This window comes from Homo sapiens, chromosome 10 (genome assembly GCF_000001405.40).
Source record: "Homo sapiens chromosome 10, GRCh38.p14 Primary Assembly".
Classification (NCBI taxonomy): domain Eukaryota; kingdom Metazoa; phylum Chordata; class Mammalia; order Primates; family Hominidae; genus Homo; species Homo sapiens.
In genome coordinates this window covers 47743503-47766227 of record NC_000010.11, presented here as the reverse complement: position 1 = coordinate 47766227, position 22725 = coordinate 47743503, and the positions used below count along the sequence as shown (strand labels likewise).

General features: G+C 52.2%; 2 protein-coding genes and 1 long non-coding RNA gene across 14 annotated transcripts in view, besides 3 other annotated features; 2 read left to right on the top strand and 1 right to left on the bottom strand.

Moving 5' to 3' along the window:
- The window catches only part of ANXA8 (annexin A8), a 523804-nt gene that overhangs the window by 225569 nt on the left and 275510 nt on the right, over positions 1–22725 (top strand). The window lies entirely within an intron of this gene.
- SYT15B (synaptotagmin 15B) lies at positions 2636–21511 on the top strand. Of its 12 annotated transcripts, none has more exons than XR_001747444.3 (8): positions 2636–3594; positions 5299–5441; positions 6280–6596; positions 8137–8307; positions 8900–9020; positions 10006–10185; positions 11914–12421; positions 14006–16385. XR_001747444.3 is itself a non-coding variant. In NM_001370185.1 (8 exons), the coding sequence occupies exons 2-8, from the start codon at positions 4714–4716 to the stop codon at positions 12054–12056; spliced, it is 1128 nt and encodes a 375-aa protein (NP_001357114.1). In that variant the 5' UTR covers positions 2636–3594; positions 4588–4713; the 3' UTR covers positions 12057–21511. The 12 variants fall into 12 exon arrangements, 11 of the variants coding, with proteins under 11 accessions (NP_001357114.1, NP_001357113.1, NP_001357112.1 ...); NM_001370185.1 differs by adding an exon at positions 4588–4787 and having other exon boundaries at positions 6301–6596; positions 11914–21511; NM_001370184.1 differs by adding an exon at positions 4583–4787 and having other exon boundaries at positions 6301–6596; positions 11914–21511.
- LOC102724593 (uncharacterized) lies at positions 7187–22529 on the bottom strand. Its single transcript, NR_134489.1, has 2 exons — positions 22218–22529; positions 7187–7543 (listed from the first exon to the last, which is right to left on the bottom strand). It is a non-coding gene; the product is annotated as an uncharacterized LOC102724593 (long non-coding RNA).
- Positions 11163–11457: an enhancer, noted in NCBI's record as "tiled region #8617; K562 Activating DNase unmatched - State 25:Art". NCBI's record gives its function as "activates a minimal TATA promoter and a strong SV40 promoter by Sharpr-MPRA in K562 cells {active_cell/tissue: K562}" and the evidence as "EXISTENCE:reporter gene assay evidence [ECO:0000049][PMID:27701403]".
- Positions 11163–11517: a biological region, named in NCBI's record as "Sharpr-MPRA regulatory regions 2784 and 8617 duplicate 2".
- Positions 11223–11517: an enhancer, noted in NCBI's record as "tiled region #2784; HepG2 Activating DNase matched - State 5:Enh, and K562 Activating DNase unmatched - State 25:Art". NCBI's record gives its function as "weakly activates a minimal TATA promoter and a strong SV40 promoter by Sharpr-MPRA in HepG2 and K562 cells {active_cell/tissue: HepG2 | K562}" and the evidence as "EXISTENCE:reporter gene assay evidence [ECO:0000049][PMID:27701403]".

Below are 22725 nucleotides of genomic sequence, written 5' to 3'. Positions count from 1 at the left end.
GGGCAGAAGCTGGGGCAGCTCATCCCAATGGCAAGAGCCCTTCATCTGCCATTCAGCACAGCCTCAGCCCTGGAGGTGGATAGTGGCGATGCCAAGCTGAATAAGACACGGCCCCCTGCCTTCATGGAGGCCCTCGGCTGCCAGGAAGAGTGAGGCAGCAGTCTCAGGCACAGAGTCCCATATTCGGCATGGTAGCTGCAAGGACCATGAGGACGAGGGGATGATGAAGGGTTTCACAGAAGGCAAGATGCTGGGGGTTCATCTTGAAACATGAGCAGTGGAGAAGGAGGGTGGGAGGGGCATTGAGTATTTCAGACAGGGAGAGAGCAGCATGGTGGGAGAGCCCAGTGCATACGCAGAGCCGTGGAAGTAGCTGCATCAGTCTGGGCACAAGCACTGCAGAGAGATGGGTGGTGGGGGGGATGAGAATGGGAGGGGAGCCTGGAAGACAACAGCTGGGAAGGGGAGTGGGTGCAGCATGGAATCTGAAGAGCTGAGAGGAGGCCCATGCAGAGCTCCAGATGAGAGGTGATGGAGGGCTGGGCAAGGTTTTTTGCCATGATAGAGATGGACAGAGGAGGAACAGCTGTCAGGACTTGGTGACACAGAGAAAGATGGGGACTTTGGAAAAGCACAGCATGGGGGTCGAGAGATGGCAGCTCTGGGCCTGGCACTCAGGAAGTGCCAGAAGGGATTCCCTTTTCAAAAAACATCCCACTACCCAACTCCACCCCCAGAACAGCCTGAGTACAGCTCGGGCGCAATCATGGAGGCAGCTGGTGTGGATGCCATGCCCCACTGGGGTGGTCAGGTGGGGGTGCATGGCAGCTGGGGGAAGGGGTCAAGATAGCTGACGGGTTCCATGTAGGGGTCCCCTGAGCCTTGCTAGCTGCCTGAGTCCAGTGTTGAGGCACACTGAACTCTAGACAGAGGAAGGGGAAATGTAAGCCACCCCTCCCAGGGTACTGCATGGACAACATGGTCCACACAATGGTCCTAGAGATATCAAGTCCTCATCCCCAACCCCGTGACTACATAGCAAAAGGGGCTTTGCAGGTGTGATTAAGTTAATGATCTTGAGATGGGGGTGGTGGTTATCCTGGATTATCTGATGAGCCTCTTATAGAGAAACGCCACACTCTGAGATGAATTCAGAAGTCCTTTATTAGCCGGCAACCGAGAGATGGCTAGTGCTCAAAATTCTCTCGGCCCTGAAGAAAGGGCTAGATTTTCTTTTATACTTTGGTTTAGAAAGGGGAGGAGGAGCCTAGCTGAAGCACTCTTACAGAAGCAAAACAGGCAAAAAGTTAAAAGACAAATGGTTACAGGAAAACAAACAGTTCCAGGTGCAGGGGTTTTAAATCCATCACAAGGCGATAGATGCGGGGGCTTTGGGTACCATCAACCGGACACAAATGTGGGGGCTTAGGGTACTATCAACTGGGCAAATTCCTGGGAACTGCGGATATAGCTTGCCACAGTATCTTATCCATTAATTGCATTCTTTGATGTGCTGGGAGTCAGCTTGCACAAGTTAAGTCCTTGAGGAAGGGGGGTGGGTAAGGGGCTGCAAGTGAAGGAGCCAAAATGGAGTGTGTCTGGCTCTCTCAGCTAAGGGACAGTCAATTCAGGTTAAAACAAGGTAGGGTATCACACTTACAAGAGGGAGGCAGAAAGAGTTGATGTGAAATGACCTGGAGTGGGAGAGGTTAGAAAAGGCTGTGCTGCCGGCTTTGAAGACAAAGGAAAGGGCCACTAGCTAGCAGCCTCTAGGAGCTGGAAACGCTGGGAAACAGCTCCCTTGCCTCCAGAAGGCACAGGCCCTGCCAACCCAGTTTAGATTCCCGACCCCCCGAACTGTGAGATAACATGCGTGTGGCTTAAACTACTCAATCTGTGGTACTTTGTTGCAGGGGCAACAACAAACATACAGACATCTAACTCAGACCCGAGGCCTTGGGTGGGACCCAGGCCCCATTTCCTGAGACACCTGCTCCCACAGCGACCTGGGGTAAGCAGAAGTGGGGGAGGATTCTCCAGACACCCCAGACTGTCTCCAAGTAGAGCGGAGATCTCGCCAGTTAAGCGCACAGCTGAGGACAGTTACTGGGTGAAGTGGCCTGGGTCTCCGCCTTCTCATGCCCCCACCGCCCAGACCCTAGAAGGGGAGTGGCTGCGGCCTCTGCACCCTGGCCCTGAGGGCTCCCAGACCCGGCCCAGTGGGGCACCCCAGTTCACCACCCTCCTCGCCTTAGGTGAGCCAAAGCCCAGGCAGGGTGGAGCCTCACGCACACTGACTGGCCCCTAGGACAGGCACAGGTGACGCGGGGGTGTGGGACCCAGGCTATGACTCTGGACATAACCTTCAAGGCTGTAAAACGAGAAGGTCCATCCCCCCAAAACACGCACTCCCCCACAACCACCCCCTCCCCCCCCCACACACACACTCCCCTGCACCACAGATACACACATTCCTTTCGCTCCCCACTCAGACGCCTCGAGGCCTCGGCGGGGGAACCATAGGGGCGCGACCAGGGCGCGCCGAGGGGTGACCAGAGAGGACACGCAGCGACCTTACTCCCGCCTTTCCCGCAAGGCGCGTTCGCCAGCCTGGACTAGTGGGCACGGGCCCTGCGTTCTAATAATCACCATAATAATAGGCGCTGGGTGTACAGAGGGGACCCAGGCGACGCTGGCCTCCATCCGATAACCACCGTAACAGGGGCTGGGCCGCGCCGCTCCTCCGCTCTAAGTGTTCTTTACATGCTTCTTAAGTTACCGGCAGGCCAGCCGCCCTTACGAGAGCCCCTCACGGACATTAACCCAATTGAGAAGACTGAACCCAGCATACGAACGTTAAGTTGTCCCAAATCGCAGGGCTGGCGAGTGAGGAGCCTGAATTGGAACCCAGGAGCTTCTGGAACCCGCTCCAGAATTGCGCTCTCGACCGGTTTGTCCGCTGAGAGCGAACGGGTGCGCGAGCGCCGCATCCCTGCCCAAGGCCATCAGGCAGGCAGCGCTGGGGCCCGGGACCCGCGCGGAGACTCCACCCCGGGATCCGGGAAGGCTCCCCCGAGCCGGGGTCGGAGCTGCGGCTGGAGGGGCCTCGGCTTGAGGAGGATCTGGGAGGGCGGGGGCTCAGTCCTGGCCACCAGGTGTGAGGGGTCGGGTGCGGAGCCCTGTGTCAGACGCGGCGGTGAAGGCTGTAGCCCTGCTCTCCGGGATGGGGGTGGTACTCTCACCGCACCCTGCCCCAAGCCGCAGGGAGCCCCTGGCGCCCCTGGCGCCCGGGACCCGCCCTGGCTGGAGCCCTGCGGTTTCCGGGAGCTCACGGTCGGCTCTGCGCCCCTCCACCGCCGGGCCTGGGCCTGGGCCAGGGACTGGCTGGGGCGGGACTGCGGCCTCGGGGCGCTGGGTCCCTGCCCCTGCCGTGCACTGCGCGGCTCCCCGCGCCGCAGCTGGGCACCAGCAGCACCACGGACCGCCCCTGTGCTCGCCCGACGGCGCCCCGCGGCGCTTTAAGAGACGGCCTGGCAGCCCAGCCCCAGCCGCCCAGACCGGCGAGACCAGCCTGCGGGAGCAGCCCCATGGCGGGTAAGCGAGCCTCGCCTCCCCAGCCCAGCCCCGGCCCCTCTGCGACCCTTCCAGCACTTGCCTCCGCCCCGCCGCCCCCGCTGGGGTGCAGCGCCTGCCCTGCCCGGCCTCGGCGCGCTCTTGGAGGGGCACTGGGATGGAGTAGACGCTGAGGCCCGCTCTTCGCGGTCAGTTGCGGCTTAGGAGGTGTGGGGGGTCCGGCCTTCTCACCACCCCACCCAGTGCAGATCCCTGAGACCTGAATGCCCCGCGGCCGCACGTCACCCTAAGGGAGGCACCTTTTTGGCCCGCCCCAGGTGGCCAGCGGTTGGAACCCAGCGTCTGAGCACCCCCGGGGCGAAGCCTCCTAGGTCCCGCAAATGCGGACGTGTGAGGGCCAGCAGCAATGGGGCCTTGCCCCCTCTTCCTCCCCACCTCGTCCACCGCGTCGCACCAACTCCCCTAAGCGCGTGCTCACCTTGATAGAGGGCTAGGGGAGGGAGCGGGTGTTAGAGAAGAGTCCAGCCTTGCAGCAGGTTCCAGGGCCCCAGAGGGTAGAGGTTTGATTGCAGACCAGGGGGAAGGTACCTTTCAGGGCTTTCCTTAACTGACTGCGTCCACACCCCAGCTCCCCTCCTGGCCTCAACAGGAGCCCAGGGGATATGGAGGTTCTGGTGAGGGCAGGTTTGATTTCTACTCAGAAGCGCAAGGAAATGGCTTCTTTAAGCCAGAATCCCAAGGGCAGGGCCAGCTGTTTTCCAAGGAAAACTAGAAGGTTCTGCCCAGGGCTCTCAGACCCTGGGGTAAACGGCTTCTCCTCTGAGAGCTGGCGGAACCTAGCCAGCAGCATCCCTCCCGGAACCCATCCCCAGCAGGCCTGCTCCTATCACTCCTGAGATCAAACCCAGAGGCAGGGTTGCTGCCCTAGTTCTGCCCCAGCAGGCCAGGGCTGTGAGGGAGAGTGGCCTTCCCAGGCAGGCATCATAGTACTGGTGGTCTCTGCCCCCAGAGCAGCTGGCCCTGGTGATTGGGGGCACCATCGGGGGGCTGCTGCTGCTGCTGTTGATCGGGGCAAGCTGCTGTCTGTGGAGAAGGTTCTGTGCCACCCTCACCTATGAGGAGCTGCCTGGGACACCAGCCATGGCCACCACAGCTGCCTCCAGTGGGCAGCGGGACAGGCCCTGCCAGCCGCATGCTAGGACCCAACTGAGCAGGTGAGGCAGGATGTGGGGCCAAGTGCGCCCCTGGAATTTCCCTCAGGGTGGGGTCGAAAAGGAAAGTTCTGTTTATGGGGGTGCCTCTTCTATGCTGCTTCGGTGCTGGGAGCTATCACAAAGAAACCCCAGAAACCTCACATCAGCTATTAGGCAGGTGTTATGAAACCCATGTTCCAGGTGAGGAATCTGAGGCTCAGTGCACATAAGCAACAGGTCCAGAGAACACAATTAGTAAGTGGCAGAACAGGAATCCAAACCCAGACTGGCTGACACTGTCAGGTGCTGTGTTCCTTCTCCAAATCCCACTGCTGTGTGTGTGTGTGTGTGTGTGTGTGCGTGTGTGTGTGTGTGTTGCCTGGTATGGGCCCAGAAAATGGTGCCCTGGCCTCCTCCTGGCTCCCGATGGCTTTTCTTCCTCCAGCCCCTGGTGCTCAACCGTCCTGGCTGAGCGCTCTGAGACCACACCATTCACTTGCCACCTACATGTTGTCTCCCTGACTCTGGACAGGCCACCAGCTGTGCCATTCGTGGTGCCCCCAACCCTTCAAGGCCGAGATTGGGTGCCCCTGCACAGTGGAGAGTGGGCCGATGCCCCATGGGACCCCTGCCCGGCATCAGAGCTGCTGCCTCACACCTCCAGCGGCGGCCTTGGTGAGTGTCCTTGCCAGGGCTGCCCAGAGGTCAGGGTCTGCTCGGGTGGCCCCATCTGCTTTCACCAGCTTGGCTCCGGAACACAACCTGAACCAGCCAGGGATGCCAGGGACCACCCAGGGACCACTCTTTCTGGGTGCTTTCATTTATGAAGTGCTTGCTGCACCCCATGAGGGTGAGATATGGCCTTGGGTGCTGATTTGGAGTGAGACCTCACCATGACTCTGAGGGGGAGGAATTATCACCCCATTTTACATAGTCTTAACTGAGGCTGTAAGCAACAGATTGGAATTGGAACCCAGGCACGCCATGTACAGAACTTGTGCTGGGTCCCACTCTAGGATGATGGGTTGGTTGACCAAGAGGACAGAATGGTAGGGGCTGCAAACACAGCTTTCTGCCACCTCTTTGCCCTGAAGATCTACCAAGAGACCATCACAGGAACCACCCAATAATCACCTTGGCCCTTCTAATTTGAAGAGGAAGAAGAAAGGCAATGTTTTATCGCTGAGTCATTCCCTAGACGCCATGGAAGGGGGCTAGGCCAGGTGATGGGCACTGTGTCCTTGAAACAGGTCCTGACCTCCAAGGATGGGGGCCAATCCCAGGGGGCAGGACTCTGCTGGATCCCCAGCCTGGCCATGCAATGCCTTCATGGTGAGAAGGCTTCTTGGAGGAGCTGCACCAGAGAGAGGGGATGTGTTTAGCCTGGTGAGGAGAGTGGGGCAGATGTGGTCAGGCTAGCTGAGGCTCAGCAGAGACGGATGGGCCAGGATGGGGATGGGTGCCCAGAGCTTGCCACTGTCTCCCATGCCCCTGCCTTCCTCTGGCCTGCCAGCCCTCCCACCCTCTGTCATAGGAGATGCATGTATGGTGGGGGCCATCAACCCAGAGCTGTACAAGTTCCCAGAGGACAAAAGTGAGACCGACTTCCCCGACGGCTGCCTGGGGCGGCTGTGGTTCTCGGTGGAATATGAGCAGGAGGCTGAGCGGCTGCTGGTGGGCTTGATCAAGGCACAGCACCTGCAAGCCCCCTCGGAGACCTGCAGCCCCCTGGTGAAGCTCTACCTGCTGCCCGATGAGCGGCGCTTCCTCCAATCCAAGACCAAACGCAAAACCTCCAACCCGCAGTTTGACGAGCACTTCATCTTTCAGGTACAGCTTCTGGAGCAGGCAGGGTCTGGTGCCCTCCGCGTTGCTGGGAAGGTGCAGACCTACAGGAGAGCCCAGCCTCCTGTACCAGCCAGGGCTCTGCAGCCCCCGGGACCCTTGATGCCACCAGCTCTGCTTTACCTAGTCTGCTAGGTTAAGGCCTATAGGAGCTGATCCCTGATAGAGGGGCAGGGGAGAGATTTGGTGAGTGGTGACCAGAAGCCTGGGCTTCCCTGTCCTGACTACCTGGAAGAGAGTGGGTGAAAACACAATTTTAGAGCAACTACTGAATGCCAGGCCCTGGCCTATGGGGCTCAGGGGAATTATCCCAAAGGCCTGAAGCACTATGGGGTTTCTGGCAAGTTTATCCAAGGAAGGCAAAAGACAGGCCTCAGCGTGAATGCAGAAGCTTCCTGTGCTGTCAGAGGCCAGCGCGGGGCCCGAGTGCCCTCACAGGGTAGGTGTGGTGCCTTGCTGCACTCTGGGCTGGCCGGCTTAGGGTCTGGAGGTGGAGAGTCTATTGGGGCACCGAGCCAGTTTCACAGGGGCCTGGGAGCCTTAGCAGGTGACTGGGGGCCCTTAGGGGAAGGAGTCATCGAGACCTGCCAAGAGGCCTTGGACAAACATGTTCTCAAGAGCTGGGTGGCAAGCTAGCCAAGAGGTGAGGTTCAGCCAGTCAGCTTTCAGGAGGAGTGTGACTGCGGAGGCCAGGGCCATCACTTGTGCCTTCCGCCCTGGCTGAGAGCTGGGAAGAGGGGTGCCATCGGGCCTGGTCCCGGGCCGTCTTTCTGAGGCCAGGGCTGTGAGAATTCACAGGTGAATCGCTCTTCTCAAGACATCAGAATCCAAGGCTGCAGCCTTGCTGACGTGCGACACGTCATGCTTGCAGGCTAATTTTTCTTAGCTCATCACTTCCCCACTCTATCTCGCCCCAGCTTGATCCAATCCCTCTGTGGAAAAGGGAGAAGGGGAAAGAAAAGAAAATCAATATTAATGGGCCATCTGCTGGAGGTCAGACACTGTGATTGGGGTTTTACAACCAGAGAGGAAGACCCATAATCCCCATTTCACAGGCGAGGAGGCCAAATCTCAGGGAGGAGAGAGCTGGCATGCCCAGCTCTGACAGCAGAGACAGGCCGGTGCCCTGGGCTCCTGGGCCTTTGCTACAGTGCAGGGTGGTGGCGGAGCCACACTCACCGTGCAGCCATGTCACTTGGTGCTCCGGTTAAACGGCAGATTCCAATTCATGAATCTGGGCTGGGGCCCAAGATCCTGCATTTCTAACAGGGCTCCAAGTGGTGGTAGACGCTACAGGTCCTCGGACCACACTCTGTGTACCAAGGTCCTGGCACCTACCCCCACTTTCCAGGGGTACACGGCTCTGCTGCTGAGAAGGGTCCCCTGAAAATGCCTAGGTTTGGGGGATGTGGGTCCCTGGTTGAGACACCCGTTCCCAAAAGCACCCATGTCCAGAATAACAAGTCACACCATCCCATCCCCTACCCCCACGCCTGACTCTGGCTGGTGTCCTTGTCCCCCCCAGGTGTCCAGCAAGACCATCACCCAGAGGGTGCTGAAGTTCTCCGTCTACCACGTGGACAGGCAGAGGAAGCACCAGCTCCTGGGCCAGGTGCTCTTCCCCTTGAAGAATGAGACCCTAGTGGGGGACTGCCGGCGTGTCATCTGGAGAGACCTGGAGGCTGAGAGCCTGGAGGTATGGTCAAGGTCACCATGCCTATGCCACTGAGCATCAGCTGGCAGGTGTGCACAGGGCCCAGCACCTGCTGGCGGCATCAGCCCTCAGCATCCTGCACACCACCCTACAACAGTGACTCAGGGAGGAGGGCCCAGGCCCCAAGCAGCATGGGACAGGTGGGAACGGACCTGCCCCTGGGCAGGGAGGGCCTGCTTGAGGTCCTGTTGTCACACTGGCCATCAGACCCCCTGGAGCAACCTGAAATATCCACATTTGGATTCTTATCTAGGTTAGACAGCTGTGAGAGATGACACCACAAATGGTCCAGCCCAGGGAAATGTTTCCTCCAGCCCACCACCCCCAGGAAGGCCCCAGCTGGCTCAGACCTGGGTGTGACTCCTTAGCTGTGGTCCACAGGACTGCACAAGCCCCTTAAACTCTCCAGACCACAGTTGCCCCATCCTTAAAATGGCAGTGGAACTCAAAGGGGACCATGCGGGTGTGTCGCATGGGCCGCTAGGAGGAAGCGGGAGGCTCTCTGGGGGTTCTGTGACCCCTTCAGCACTTGCCAGAGTAACAGGATGGGGTGCTTCCATCTTGGCCTCCCCAGCCCCCCTCGGAGTTTGGCGACCTCCAGTTCTGCCTCAGCTACAACGACTACCTGAGCCGCCTGACGGTGGTTGTGCTGCGTGCCAAGGGCCTCCGGCTCCAGGAGGACAGAGGCATTGTCAGTGAGTTCCTCCCTTTCCTCCTGGGGAAGGTCCCACCCACCGAGCTTACAGCCTGGGGCTACAGTCCAACCTCATCCCTGACCATCCAGTTTCTGCTTGCATACACCTATCATGGAGTGCTCACTACCTCACAAGACGTGCTGTCCCTCGGTCGACAGTTCTGGTGCAGGAAGCCTCTTCCTGTGTTGAACCCAAAGCTGCATCTCCTTGGCCTCCCCTACGGAGGGTTCTAACCCAGCCGCAATACCAGGCCCTGCCCCTCCTGTTTCCCGAGGCAGCGTCTTGGCTCTTTGAACTGTCCTGCCTGCCTCCACCTCCACCTTTCCATCAGCGGCATGGGTCCAGTTCCTCCAGGGTGAGGCCCGCACCTCCCTCCCCACAGGGGAAGAGCCCCCGACTCAATGGGCACTGATGCTTGGCCTCCCAGAATACAGGAGCTGCAGAAGGGGAGGCCTTGGTTCACCCCACATGTCCCACCCCATTTGGGCTCACCCCACACATCCCACCCATCCCAGTGAGGTGGTGGTGGTCAGCCACCTGTTTGTGTTCACATCTGGGGTCACCGTAAGCCAGGCAGGATCCAGACCTTCCACTGTGACTCTGACCCTCACCCACCAAATCTTAGCCCTCTGTACAAGGTGTTTAAGGGGCCCCAGGGGGCCTGGGGGCCCAGTGAGCAGCCCCCCAACAGGGAGGGACAGGCTTGCGGTGCTAGGCTCTGGTAAACCAGGGCCTGCAGGAGCCGTGGGTACTTTCCTGATGCAAAGAGGAAGGAAAAGGAAGGGAGCGGAGCCCCGCCTGGGCCGCAGGGCAGTGCACTCCTCAGCCGGCTTCCTCTGGTCACGCCGGCGGGGCCGCAGCACTGTGTGAGGGGTGGGGCCCTGGCACCTAGCTTGGGCACGTGCCCTCCTAGCCGGACCTCCCACAGGCAGGGGCTCTGCTCCCACCTGCCTCTGCCAGCCCACTAGTGCTCACCGTTCCCTAGGTGTGTTTGTCAAAGTGTCTCTGATGAACCACAACAAGTTTGTCAAGTGCAAGAAGACTTCAGCTGTGCTGGGCTCCATCAACCCTGTGTACAATGAGACCTTCAGCTTCAAGGCCGATGCCACCGAGCTGGATACCGCTAGCCTCAGCCTGACTGTGGTGCAGAACATGGAAGGGGACAGTAAGGCCACACCCTACCCTGGGCTGCTGGGATGGGGACCACGAGGGGCTGCCGAGTGTTCAGGCAGAGTGAGTGCCTCCTGTCCTGACCTCAGAAGGAGCCGTACGAGCTCCCTCCCTGGTTAAGGAAACTAGTGCTCAGAAAGGCTGAAATATTGCCCAAGGCCTGGGTTTCAGGCCCAGCTTTAGTCCAGTTGAGCTCTGTCTGTGGCACCCTAGAAACAGGTTAAGCAGCCGGGCATGCTGGCTCACATCTGTAATCCCAGCACCTTGGGAGGCCAAGGTGGGTGGATCACTTGAGCTCAGGAGTTCAAGACCAGCCTGGCCAACATGGTGAAACGCTCATCTCTACTAAAAATACAATAATTAGCTGGGCGTGGTGGCACACCCCTGTAATCCCAGCTACTTGGGAGGTTGAGGTGGGAGGATCTCTTGAACCCAGGAGGCGAGGCTGCTGAATCTGTCAAAAAAAAAAAAAAAAAAAAAAAGGGCCGGGCACGGTGGCTCACACCTGTAATCCCAGCACTTTGGGAGGCCGAGGTAGGCAGATCACGAGGTCAGGAGATCGAGACCATCCTGGCTAACACAGTGAAACCACGTCTCTACTAAAAATACAAAAAATTAGCTGGGTGTGGTGGCTGGCGCCTGTAGTCCCAGCTACTTGGGAGGCTGAGGCAGGAGAATGGCATGAGCCTGGGAGGCGGAGCTTGCAGTGAGCCGAGATCGCACCACTGCATTCCAGCCTGGGCAACAGAGCGAGACTTCGTCTCAAAAAAAAAAAAAGAGGTTGGCTGGGTGCGGTGGCTCACGCCTATAATCCTAGCACTTTGGGAGACCGAGAGGGGTGGATTACGACATCAAGAGATCAAGACCATCCTGGCCAACATAGTAAAATTCTGTCTGTACTAAAAATACAAAAGTTAGCTAGGCGTGGTGGTGCACGCCTGTAGGCCCAACTACTCGGGAGGCTGAAGCAGAAGAATCACTTGAACCCGGGAGGCAGAGGTTGCAGTGAGCCAAGATCTTGCAACTGCACTCCAGCCTGTCCACAGAGCGAGACTCTGTCAAAAAAAAAAAAAAGAAAAGAAAAGAAAAAGAAAGAGGTTAAGCAATGGCCTCTGCTGCCCTCTCCTGGAGCAAATCACCCGAGAGAGTGGGAGGGGCCAGGCCTGCCACCAGCCCAGGGACCTGGTGCTCTGACCTTCCTCGTGCCCTCCAGATGAGACTTTGGGGTTCTGGGCGAGTTCTGTCAGCCAGCTCCCACACTGCCCCACACCCCAGCACCCACTGCCACTCTGGGGAAACAGAGCCATCAGGCCGTGGCTGGCCACATGGCCTGGACTTAAGACCCTTCTCCACGGTGGCCAGTGAATGTTACTGCTGAATGTACTCTCGGATGGCCGAGGCCTTCTTTCTAGAGGGGCCCTTTCCTCCCTCAGCTCTTTGGCATAAGGTAGACTTAATACGGCCCCACAGAAGGGTGTGGGGCAGAGCTGGTGGCCCTCAAGGAGAGAGTCTTTCAGGGCTCTCCTTCCTCCCAATCTCCCAGGGGGAGAAGCAGCCCTTCCAGCTGCAGAGCAAAGGCAGGGCCCCTTTGGGGCCTGTCAGCTCCCACTCAGAGAGGAGGGGAGTTGCTACTTCCTCCTGGGGAGGAGGAGGGAGGAAAGGAGGTCACTGGGGACGGGGCTTCTGTGCTCAGGAGCACACCGGTGCTCTCCCTCCCCTGCAGAGAGCCAGCAGCTGGGCCGAGTGGTGGTGGGCCCCTACATGTACACCCGCGGCAGAGAGCTGGAGCACTGGGACGAGATGCTCAGCAAGCCCAAGGAGCTGGTGAAGCGCTGGCATGCGCTCTGCCGCACCACGGAGCCCTGACCCTTCGCCCAGCACCGCGGTTCCGCTTTGGGAGCCGACCATCCTCGCAGTTGCATGTGACAGCCACAGCCACACGCATGGACGTTTCATCCAACAGCTCCCCGAGCTGCCAGCCAGCCCGAGCCAGGAGGACGTGAGTGCTGATATGCAGGAGAGAAGAGGGGACAAAGAAGCCCTGGCCCGGTCAGCGGCTCTGGCCATACAGCCTTCCGACACACTCCCTCCTCCTTATCTGCGGGGCTGCCTGGGCTCGGAATCCCGGCTCCTGGTCCTCACAGCCCTGATTTGGACCAGAATCTCAGATGCTCAGAAGAAAGATCCTGTTTAGTGATGACCCAGCTCTACCTGCTGAATGGACCTGCAGGGTAAACTTGGGTGCCTCCATCTGGGAAAGCTGATGATGTGTTCATGCAGTCGATGACCCTCACTGCTTTTTCAGCCAGGGTTTCTCTGCCTTCTGCCTGGCAGAGAAAACACACTGCTATGGGGAAAATCACAGGGAGGGCGCTGTGACCAGCGCACTCAGGCACCAAGTGTCGGCATGGCTCACTGTGCTGGGTGAAGGCCTCCCCGAGCATTAGGTCCTCCACGGGGCTGTGTCAAATGCCCTCCCACATTGTATCAAGTCTGCCCATGGCCCACCCTCCCCACAGTCCAAAACCACACAGCCCTGGTTCTCCAGCTGTTCTGCTGCTGTTTCTGTGCTCTCCCTGATTAAGAGCATTCAGTTCCTGGGCTCTCCCTTTGAGCAGGAAATGGTGAAAGCATGTGGCTATGGTATAGCCCACAGGGCTGAGATTGCTGTGTTGCAGTATTGATGTAAAATTTGTTAAGAAGGAAGTACCCACAGATCACTGCCATCAACTCCCCAGAAGTTGCACTCAAGCTAGTGAGCAGCCCTTGTGCTTGTCACAGTTACTGTAACAGGTAGTGTGTATTTGCACCTGGCATCGTGCAGCCTGCACGTCAACACGTTGTTTTGTGTAACTAGAACAGCACATGGAACCACTATCTCTTTCTCTTTTTTCCTTCTTTTTCTTTTTTTTTTTTATTTTAATTTTTTGAGACAGAGTTTCCCTCTTGTCACCCAGGCTGGAGTGCAATGGCGTGATCTCGGCTCACTGCACCCTCCACCTCCCAGGTTCAAGCGATTCTCCTGCCTCAGCCTCCCAAGTAGCTGGGATTACTGGCGCCCGCCACCATGCCTGGCTAATTTTTTTTATTTTTAGTAGAGACGGAATTTTACCATGTTGGCTAGGCTGGTCTCAAATTCCTGGCCTCAGGTGATCCACCTGCCTCAGCCTCCCAAAGTGCTGGGATTACAGGCATGAGTCACCGCACCCAGCCCGACCAGTATCTTTTTCTTATGCAGTGAAACAACTTTAGCAAAAGAGGCAATGAATGTTATACTGAGTTTCTACCTCTTTAACTCCACCTCCAATTTCTGTCAATCTACAAACACAAGTGTCGCCTCGCAGTGTTTCGTATGAACAGAATATCTTGTGTTTGCTTTTTGTCACTTATTTCACTTGCACATTTTTTGTTTGTTTGTTTGTTTGTTTGTTTGTTTTTTGAGATGGAGTCTTGCTCTGTCGCCCAGGCTGGAGTGCGGTGGCGCGATCTAGGCTTACTGCAAGCTCCGCCTCCCGGGTTTACTTACACCACTGTCCTGCCTCAGCCTCCGGAGTAGCTGGGACTACAGACACCTGCCACCACGCCCTGCTAATTTTTTGTATTTTCAAGTAGAGACGGGGTTTCACTGTGTTAGCCAGGATGGTCTCGATCTCCTGACCTCATGATCTACCCGCCTCGGCCTCCCAAAGTGCTGGGATTACAGGCGTGAGCCACCACGCCCGGCCCACTTGCACATTTTCAAAGTAGTCCGCAAAGCTGTAGTTTCTAATAGCTTCATAGCTCACATGTAATAGGGGTTCTCTGTGTGTTTATAGAGCAGGCTACTACAGTGGAACTGTTTCTGTTTCATCTGACATCCGGATAGATGCCAGCCACCCCCACATTCCAAGGTGAGATTTCTGACTAGCAGTGACTTTTCTAGGGCCGCTTGGAAAAGTTGATAAGTATCCTTTTCTGCAGGACAGAGTAGACTGGTATCTCTGACTCATCCCTGAAAAATCTAAATGGCAAGAGACTAGCTGGCTCTCTGCTCTGATGGGGAGGAGGTTGTTGTTTGGGCTGTTCTCTACAGACATAGTCAGGGCAAAAAGCATACGCATGCTTCCCATGGACCAGAGAAACCTGGCCTGGGTTGTCTCAAATCCTGTCCACAAGGCAACTCCAGAAGAAAGAAGCCCTTTACATTTCCATAAAACACTTTAGAATCAGCTAGTCAATTTCCACAAAATAAAGTGCTAGAATTTGATTGGATTTAATTGATTATGTAGAACAATTTGGGGGCCATTTGACATCATTAAAATATTCAATCTTCCTATTCATTAACATGGTATATCTCTTCACTTTAAGTCTTTTGTATGTTTCTCAGAACTATTTTTGTGGTTTTCAGTAAAGTGTTCTTGCACATCCTTCAATAGATTTATTCTTAGACGTTTTATATTTGTTTATGGCTAGTATATACAGATTCTGTTGCTACAAAACTATGTTGACCTTGTTATCCAGTGAGAGGCTTTGTGACATTCATTTAAATTGTAATAATTTGCAGATTATTTTTGTATAATCATGTCCTCTGTGAATGACAGTTTTATTTCTTCCTTTCTTAATCTTTATGCCTTATTTAGCTCTTGCCAAACTGCAGTGGCTGAGCAATTGGACAAGATAAAGAAATAAAAGTGATCCAGATCATAAAGAAAGAAGTAAAACTATATCTGCACATGACATAATCTTGTCTATGGAAAATCCTAAGGAATCCACACACAAAAAAACTACTAGAGCTAATAAGTTTGGCAAGGTTGCAAGATATAAAATTGGTATACAAATTGCAGTGGCTAGGACCTCCAGCAGAATGCTGACTATAAGTAGTGATAGTGGGTATTCTTGTCCATCCTCAATCTCAGGGGTGGTGGGTGTGGCATGTGGAGAGTTGTCAATATTCACCATGAAGTTTGATGGTTGTTATAGGATTTTTAATGTACTCATTAACATATATTCTCAAGCTGTTAAAAAGATTTTTTTAATTACAAATAAGGTTAAATTTCTCTCAAATACTTACTCTGCACCTTTTGAAATAATTTTATTTTTCTCCTTTATTCTTTGGATGTGATGACTTATACTAATTGACTGTTGAATGTCAAACCAAACTTAACATTCTTGTAATAGAAACCAGCAGGGTGTGTACACTTTTGTGTGTGTGTGCAGGTTTATACACATAAACACAATAATACTTGGACTTATTTATTTAAAATTTAGATTTATTAGAGGGAGCATGGCCATAAAATAAAATAAAATAAAATTTAGATTTAAGTCGAGCTCAGTGGCTCACATCTATTATCCCCGCACTTTGGAAGGCCAAGGCAGGTAGATTGTCTAAGCTCAGGAATTTGAGACCAACGTGGTGAAACTCGGTCTCTACAAAAACCACAAAAATTAGCCAGGTATGGTGTCACATGCCTGTTGTCCCAGCTACTTGGAGGGCTGGGGCAGGAGTATTGCGTGAGCCCGGGAGGTTAAGGCTGAAGTGAGTCATGTTCACGCCACTGCACTACAGCTTGGATAACAAAGCGAGACTCTGTCTCCAAAAATAAAATAAGTAAATAAATAAATAAATAAAATTTAGATCAATTTGCTGTTATATTTTTATATAAACTATGTTTATGACATAAGTATAAACAAAAAAATAAAATAAGTAAATAAATAAATAAAATTTAGATTAATTTGCTGTTATATTTTTATATAAGCTATGTTTATGACAGACTTTCCTATAATATTCTTATCATAATGTTCTTGCACTTGAAAGAATGTGCATTCTGCAGTTGTGTGCAGGTGTTATGTGTATTTCAACTGGGTCAAGTTTGTTAATCAGGTTGGTCAAATTATCTACGTCTTTACTGATATTTTTGTCTGTTTTTCTATAAATTACTGAGAGAGGATAAAGCCTGCCACTGTTATTATGAATTTGTTTATTTCTCCTTTGAGTTTTGTTAGTTTTTGTTTTATGCATTTAGAGGTTGTGTTATTAGGCTCATACCCATTTAAAATTGATGTTTTCTGGTAGAGTGAACCTTTATTATGTGAAATGGCTTTCTCTACCACTCACAATGGTATTTTTTTCACTTTCCCCCTTATTTTTGAATTTTCAATGTTCTTATAATGATGTCATGTCTCTTGAATAGAGTTGTTTTAATCAAGTCTGTCAAATTTTGTCTTTTGTGTATTTCGTGAATTTACATTTATTGTAATTACTGATATAGTTGTGTTCATAAATACCATCTTACTACTTGTTTCCATTTGTCTTACCCATTTTTGTTTTTATTTTTTCTTTTCTGTTGCTTTCTTTCTGATTATTTTTTTAATTCCGTTTCCCCCCCTACCATTGGTTTTACTTACACATTCTTTTATAATTTCTTTAGTGGTTTCCTCCACAGATTACAACTTCTGTACATTATTATAATCTAATACAAATTTTACTTTTTATTGTTTCCCAGACAATGCTATGATCTCACAATACTCAATCTCTATTTACCTCCATTCTACTCTTGCATGTATATTATTATTACTCATTTTAATTTCACATATATTTTACACCTAACGAGACATTATTATTATTGCTATGTGCAGTCAATATTCATTTGTATTCACCCACATATTCACTCTGTTTTTTTTTTATTATTTCCTGCATTTCTGTGATTCTATCATAGATCAGTTTTCTTCTACCTGAAGAATTCCCTTTAGTATTTTTTGTGTATGCACATCTGCTGGCAGCAAATTTTCTCAGGTTTTTTTGTGTTTTTTTGTTTGCTTGTTTTTGAGACAGGGTCTCACTCTGTCGCCCAGGCTGGAGTGCAGTGGCATGATCATGGTTCACTGTAGCCTCAACCTCCTAGGTTCAAGCAGTCCTCCCACCTCAGCCTCCCGAGTAGCGGGACTACAGGCAGGCACCACCATACCTGGCTAATTCTTTTGTATTTTTTGTAGAGAAGGGATTTCACCATGTTGCTCAGGCTGGTCTCAAACTCCAGAGCTCAAACAGTCTGCCTGCTTTGACCTCCCAAAGGACTGGGATTACAGGCCACCTCACCCAGCCTTTCTCAGTTTTTGAATAGAAACATCTATTTCAAATTCATTTTTAAGTATATTTTGTGAATATAGGATTACAGGTTGACACTTTTTTCTTTGAGGAACTTCAGAATGGCACTCCATTATCTTCTCACTTCCATCATTTCTGTTGACAAGTGATTTTCAGTGCTATTGTTTCTCCTTTGAGAGTAATGTGTCAGTAACATGCACTGGCTCACGCCCGTCATCCCAGCACCCTTGAGCCCAGGAGTTCAAAACCAGCCCAGGCAACAGAGCAAGATCCCCCCCCTCTACAAAAGAAAACGACAGGAGGGAGGCAGGAAGGAGGAGAGAGGGAGGGAGGGGAAAAGAAAAAAGAAAAGAAGAAATGTGTCCCTCCTACCTGCCTCTAGCTGCTTTTAATGTTTTTTCCTTGTCTTTCATTTGCAGCAGTTTAAGTATAGTGTGCCTGGGTCGGGTGCGGTGGCTCACGCCTATAATCCCAGCACTTTGGGAGGCCAAGGCCAGTGGATCACCTGAGGTCAGAAGTTTGAGACCAACCTGGCCAACATGGTGAAACCCCGTCTCCACTAAAAAATCCAAAAATTAGCCAGGCATGGTGGCGCGTGCCTGTAATCCCAGCTATTCGGGAGACTGAGGCAGGAGAATCGCTTGACCTTGGGGAGGCAGAGGTTGCAGTGAGCTGAGATCGCGCGCCACCGTACTCCAGCCTGGGTGACAAAGAAAAACTCCGTCTCAAAAAATAATAATAAAAAAAAAGTATAGTGTGCCTGGATGCAGTTTTGTTTTTATTTATCCTGCTTGGGGATCATAAAGCTTTATCAGTTTTGGAAAGTTCTCAGCCTATATTTATTTAACTGTTCCTTCTGCCCCATCTTCCTCCCTTCTAAGACTCCAGTTACATATGTGTTAGGCCTGTTCACCACTTCCCACAAGTATCTTATGTTCTTTGCTGTATTTTCCATACTCTTTGTCTCTGTTCTTCAGCTTAGAGTTTTTATTCTGTCCTATATTACAGTTCAAAGAATGTTCCTTCTGCTAAATCTAATTGTAGTTAACCCATATGCTAAGTAGTTAATTTCAATTATTGTATTTTTAAGTTTTAAATTTCCATTTCATTCTTTCTTGTAGATTCCAGTTCTTTGATGAAAGTCTCTATTCCACCCATCAAGTCTGTGTCTGATAACACCAATATCTGGGTCATTAGTGGCTCCGTTTTGTTGTGTCTGTTTTCCCCTCCTTCCTGTTTTGTGGTGTGTTTGATCACTTATTGTTGAATGCTAACCATTATAATAAATTTTAGTGGCTCCAGGAAACATGATCTGAAAACAATGTCTGTCTCAAGGGAGGGTTTACCATGTCATCTGATAGACAGAGTGGGAAGATTTTACCTTAATCCAATGGTACCGAACTGACTAGAGTCTATGTTGCAGTTTTTGGAAGGCTTCATCTCCATCTCTGGTTTGCCCGTCTATCTAGAGTGTGGTCCTCCAAGGATTCCAACTGAGTGTCTGATGTGATTATTAGGCTTCTTTTCCTTGGTGGGTCCTGAACTCCAACTTTTATCTCATTAATATGACACTGCCAAAACCTGCTGCTTTTCATAGCCTTTCTGCATAGCTTAACTCAGCAGATGCCTCAAGGGGAAAGTGTTCCTTTTCTGTGTCTCCCTTCTACATGATATCTTGGCCCCTTCAGTTCCAGCTGCCTTGACAACCTCAGTCTCCATTTCTTGTCTCTCCAGCTGAAGACTCTGCTGCCTTTGCTGCCTCTTAGCTATGGCCGTCTGCCCAAATGCTCGGCCTCTTAGCTAAAATCAGCACGTTTCCTGAAGGGAAAAGTAGTTCACAGAGGGCCAGCTTGCCTCCTTGTGTTTTTCTTCTTTTGAGATTATGACCCTTCAAATGTTTGTTAACTGGGAAGCTTTCCAAAAACTTTTTAAAAAAGTTTTCTGTGTTTTATTCAGCCTTTCCAGTTGTTCTTGGAATGAGTGTTGGTCTGCCTCAAGCAGAAAAAAAATTCTCAGAATTCTTTTCTCAGAAAAAGGATTCTCAGCAGAGAGTGATTTTATACAGGGAATGGGATTAAACAATTCTTGGGAAAGCTGGTGAAGCCAACGAGGGAACAGTTACTTTTATCAGTGTGCAATTTTTTTGCTATAATGGTGCATAACAACTAATCACAACATGTCAATGCCATACTTAAATAAGCACTCATTTCTAACACATCTGTGGGTTGGCTGGAGGTGGTCTGAGCTAGGGTAGGCAACTCACTTTTTTTTTTTTTTTTTAGGGTTTCACTCTTGTTGCCCAGGCTGGAGTGCAGTGGCGCCATCTCAGCTCACTGCAACCTCCGCCTCCCAGGTTCAAGTGATTCTCCTGCCTCAGTCTCCTGAGTAGCTGGGATTACAGGCATGCGCTACCACGCCCGGCTAATTTTGTCTGCCTTCCTTCCTTTCTTTCCTTTCTTTCTTTCAACGGAGTTTTGCTCTTGTTGCCCAGGCTGGAGTGCAATGGCATGATCTCGGCTCACCGCAACCTCTGCCTCCCAGGTTCAAGCGATTCTCCTGCCTCAGCCTCCCAAGTAGCTGGGATTACAGGCATGTGCCACCACGCCCGGCTACTTTTGTATTTTTAGTAGAAACGGGGTTTCTCCATGTTGGCCAGGCTGATCTCGAACTCCCGACCTCAGGTAATCCGCCTGCCTCGGCCTCCCAAAGTGCTGAGATTACAGGCGTGAGCCACTGCGCCAGGCCTAATTTTGTATTTTTTAGTAGAAACGGGGGTTTCTCCATGTTGGTCAGGCTCGTCTCGAACTCCGGACCTCAGGTGATCTGCCTGTCTCGGCCTCCCAAAGTGCTGGGATTACAGGTGTGAGCCACTGCGCTGGGCCTGGCAACTCACTTTCAAGCTGGCTGGGCTTGGCTCCTCACATTTGTGCATTCTGAACACAGGCTGCAGGGACAGCTGCTACCCCCAGGGAAAGCTCTTTTCATGGTGAAGGCAGAAGCATAAAAAGGCAAGCTGCATTGTGCAGATGCATATCTGTGTCTCTCCTTATGTTGTGTCATCCAATATCCCATTGGCCAAAGCACGTCACATAGCCAAGCTCCAAATCAAGGGTCAGAGAAGTAAATGATATCTTTTTCCTGAGGGGAACTGCAACACTACAGGGCAATGGACACAGCCACAGGGAGGGGTGAAGAATTCAGGTGGACAACGCAATGAACCATGCTGATGTTTCCTGGAGCTGGGATCTTCAGGAATTTGTGCTTGGCTGTGCCCATCCAGTCACCAAGGAGGAACCCCCCTACTGCAGAGCTGCTTTTGGGCCTCGATGCCATTGTTGCCAAACTGACATTCCATGATGAAAATGGACTGTAATTTGTACAGCTATTTGCCAGTTACGTTTTTGCTATTTTGCACTGTGGAAATCTTTGCCCAAATTACTGCAAGAGTCTCGAGCATCCTGCTGTCATAAGTGCAGAGTCAAAGGAAGAAAACGATGATTTTTTAAACCATCTTTCTGCTTTCTAGTCTCATCTGAGTGCCTCACATTTGGCAGAATCAACCTGGAATCCTGCTCATAAGACTATCAGGGAAATATAATTCCCAGACTTCCATTTCCAGAAAAATGTAATAAATACTTTTAAAGGGGATGGAGATGGTACCGTGTGCTAACCCCACTCTGAGACAAACCTGGGTCACAGGAACCATAGGGAAGATGTCTGCAGTAGAAGGGGACCTCGAAGTACTCAAGTACTTGGCTCACAACAGCACTATTCACATAAAGCCTGGCCTGCCCCTTGGTGACCTCCTTCCCTTACGCCTCTAGACTCTACTAGGTGATCAGAAATCCCTGCAAGCTAGTTGGGGAGGGAAGAGTGAAAGTGAAAAATGGAGAGGAAACACTGCTACCCGCCCAATGCCTGGAGCCAAATGCAAGCCTGGGCCAGGCTTGGGGGAGGAATCAAGAGGAAGCTTAAACTTAAAATGAAATCGAAAGTTTAGACTCCTACATGGGATTGGACATTTTAAATGCTGAACAGAGCCTATTTTTATAGCTAGAAGTTACAGGACACATTTTTGGTCAACTGAGAATGATCCAAAAATCATGTGAATTTTGTGATCCAGAAAGTCACAGAACATGCCCTAGATTTTATCCCAGGGGCAGGGAGGAGTGACCTGCAGAGCAAGTTTGAATTGGTAAATAGAAAACAAGAATAAAATAGTTTGCTGTTTACATTCCATAAGCCTGGCTCTTTCAACATCATGGTTATATTTCTTGGTTGAATTTAGTATGCCACTATGACGCCGGATTGTGATATTTGCCTAGGATGTTTTGTCCTAATATTTAGTATGGAATTATTTGCCCAAATCACCTGCCCCTCTCCACTTGTAGCTTTATTTCAAGAGGTATGTTTCTCAAAGTGGAGTGACTGCCAGAGTGGGAGAAAGGAGCTAGCCCTTACCGCTGTAGTAGGTCTTTGTACATCAGCTTGGTAAATCTGCAAGGCCCCCCCTCTTCCCCCCTCCCCCCCAACCCCCCCCCCACCAGGAGCCTTCCCCACGTGTGGACAAGAGAGATGGGAGGATCCGGGAGGATGTGCCGTTTCTCAGGGTCCCACAGCTAGAAGGTGATGGAGCTAGAATTTAAATCAGATTCCAAATGTCTAAAAATACTGTCATTATCACATATTACCAGAGACACCTCAAAAAAGACAGAGACGCCCTGCAGGGCCGCAACATTCCCGCAGCCTGGTAGGGTCTGTTGGGGGCCCCATGCCTGTGAGAGCCGCTCCTGCCGGTGCAGCACCGGGGAGGCTGTGCATTCAACGAGTCCTTCCTCCCTTCTCCTTTCATTCCATTGCTGCCTTCCTTCCTCCCTTCCCCCTCCGCTCCTTCCCCTAGACCTTCCTTCCGCCCTCCCTACCCCCCGCACGTCTCTCCCTACCGTCCTTCTTTCTGTGTGAATTATCTGTTCATCTCCATTGCTGCAGTACCGTCTGGCAAATCATCTGCTTGGATGCTCCTGGCTTTTTGAGAATCGGCTGGCATCAGGGTGCTGACTGACAAACTTCCCGGGGTCTGGGCACTGTGGGGACGGAGCCTGCAGACGGCGGTGTCCCCGCTAGGAGAGCCGTGGGGACGTGATTAACAGGTCAGGCCGGGCCGCGAGGTGGCGGAGGGGCCGCGCTTGCGGGCGTGGGGTGCTGGCAGAGCGCGATCCGCGGCCTGTGGCCCGCAGCCGGACCCGAGCGACAGCCTCCCGCAGCGTGTCTCCAGCGCCCTCTACTGTTCAGCATCCTCCCTGCCGCGAGGGGAGCCGCGGAAGGGGATTCTGGCTGTGCCCACAGAGCAGGTATTAAAGGATGGATTTGGAGGTGCGAGGCCATACATTGACAACCGGTATACCATGCGTCCCAAAACCTTCCCTTGTGTCCCCTTCCAAACACTACCTC

Coding starts and splice junctions, on each gene's coding strand:
- SYT15B (NM_001370182.1), top strand. CDS start 3,224: ATGGGGGTGGTACTCTCACCGCACCCTGCCCCAAGCCGCAGGGAGCCC. Junction 6,597..8,136: donor ACGAGCACTTCATCTTTCAG/GTACAGCTTCTG, acceptor TGTCCCCCCCAG/GTGTCCAGCAAGACCATCAC. Junction 10,186..11,913: donor GCAGAACATGGAAGGGGACA/GTAAGGCCACAC, acceptor CCTCCCCTGCAG/AGAGCCAGCAGCTGGGCCGA.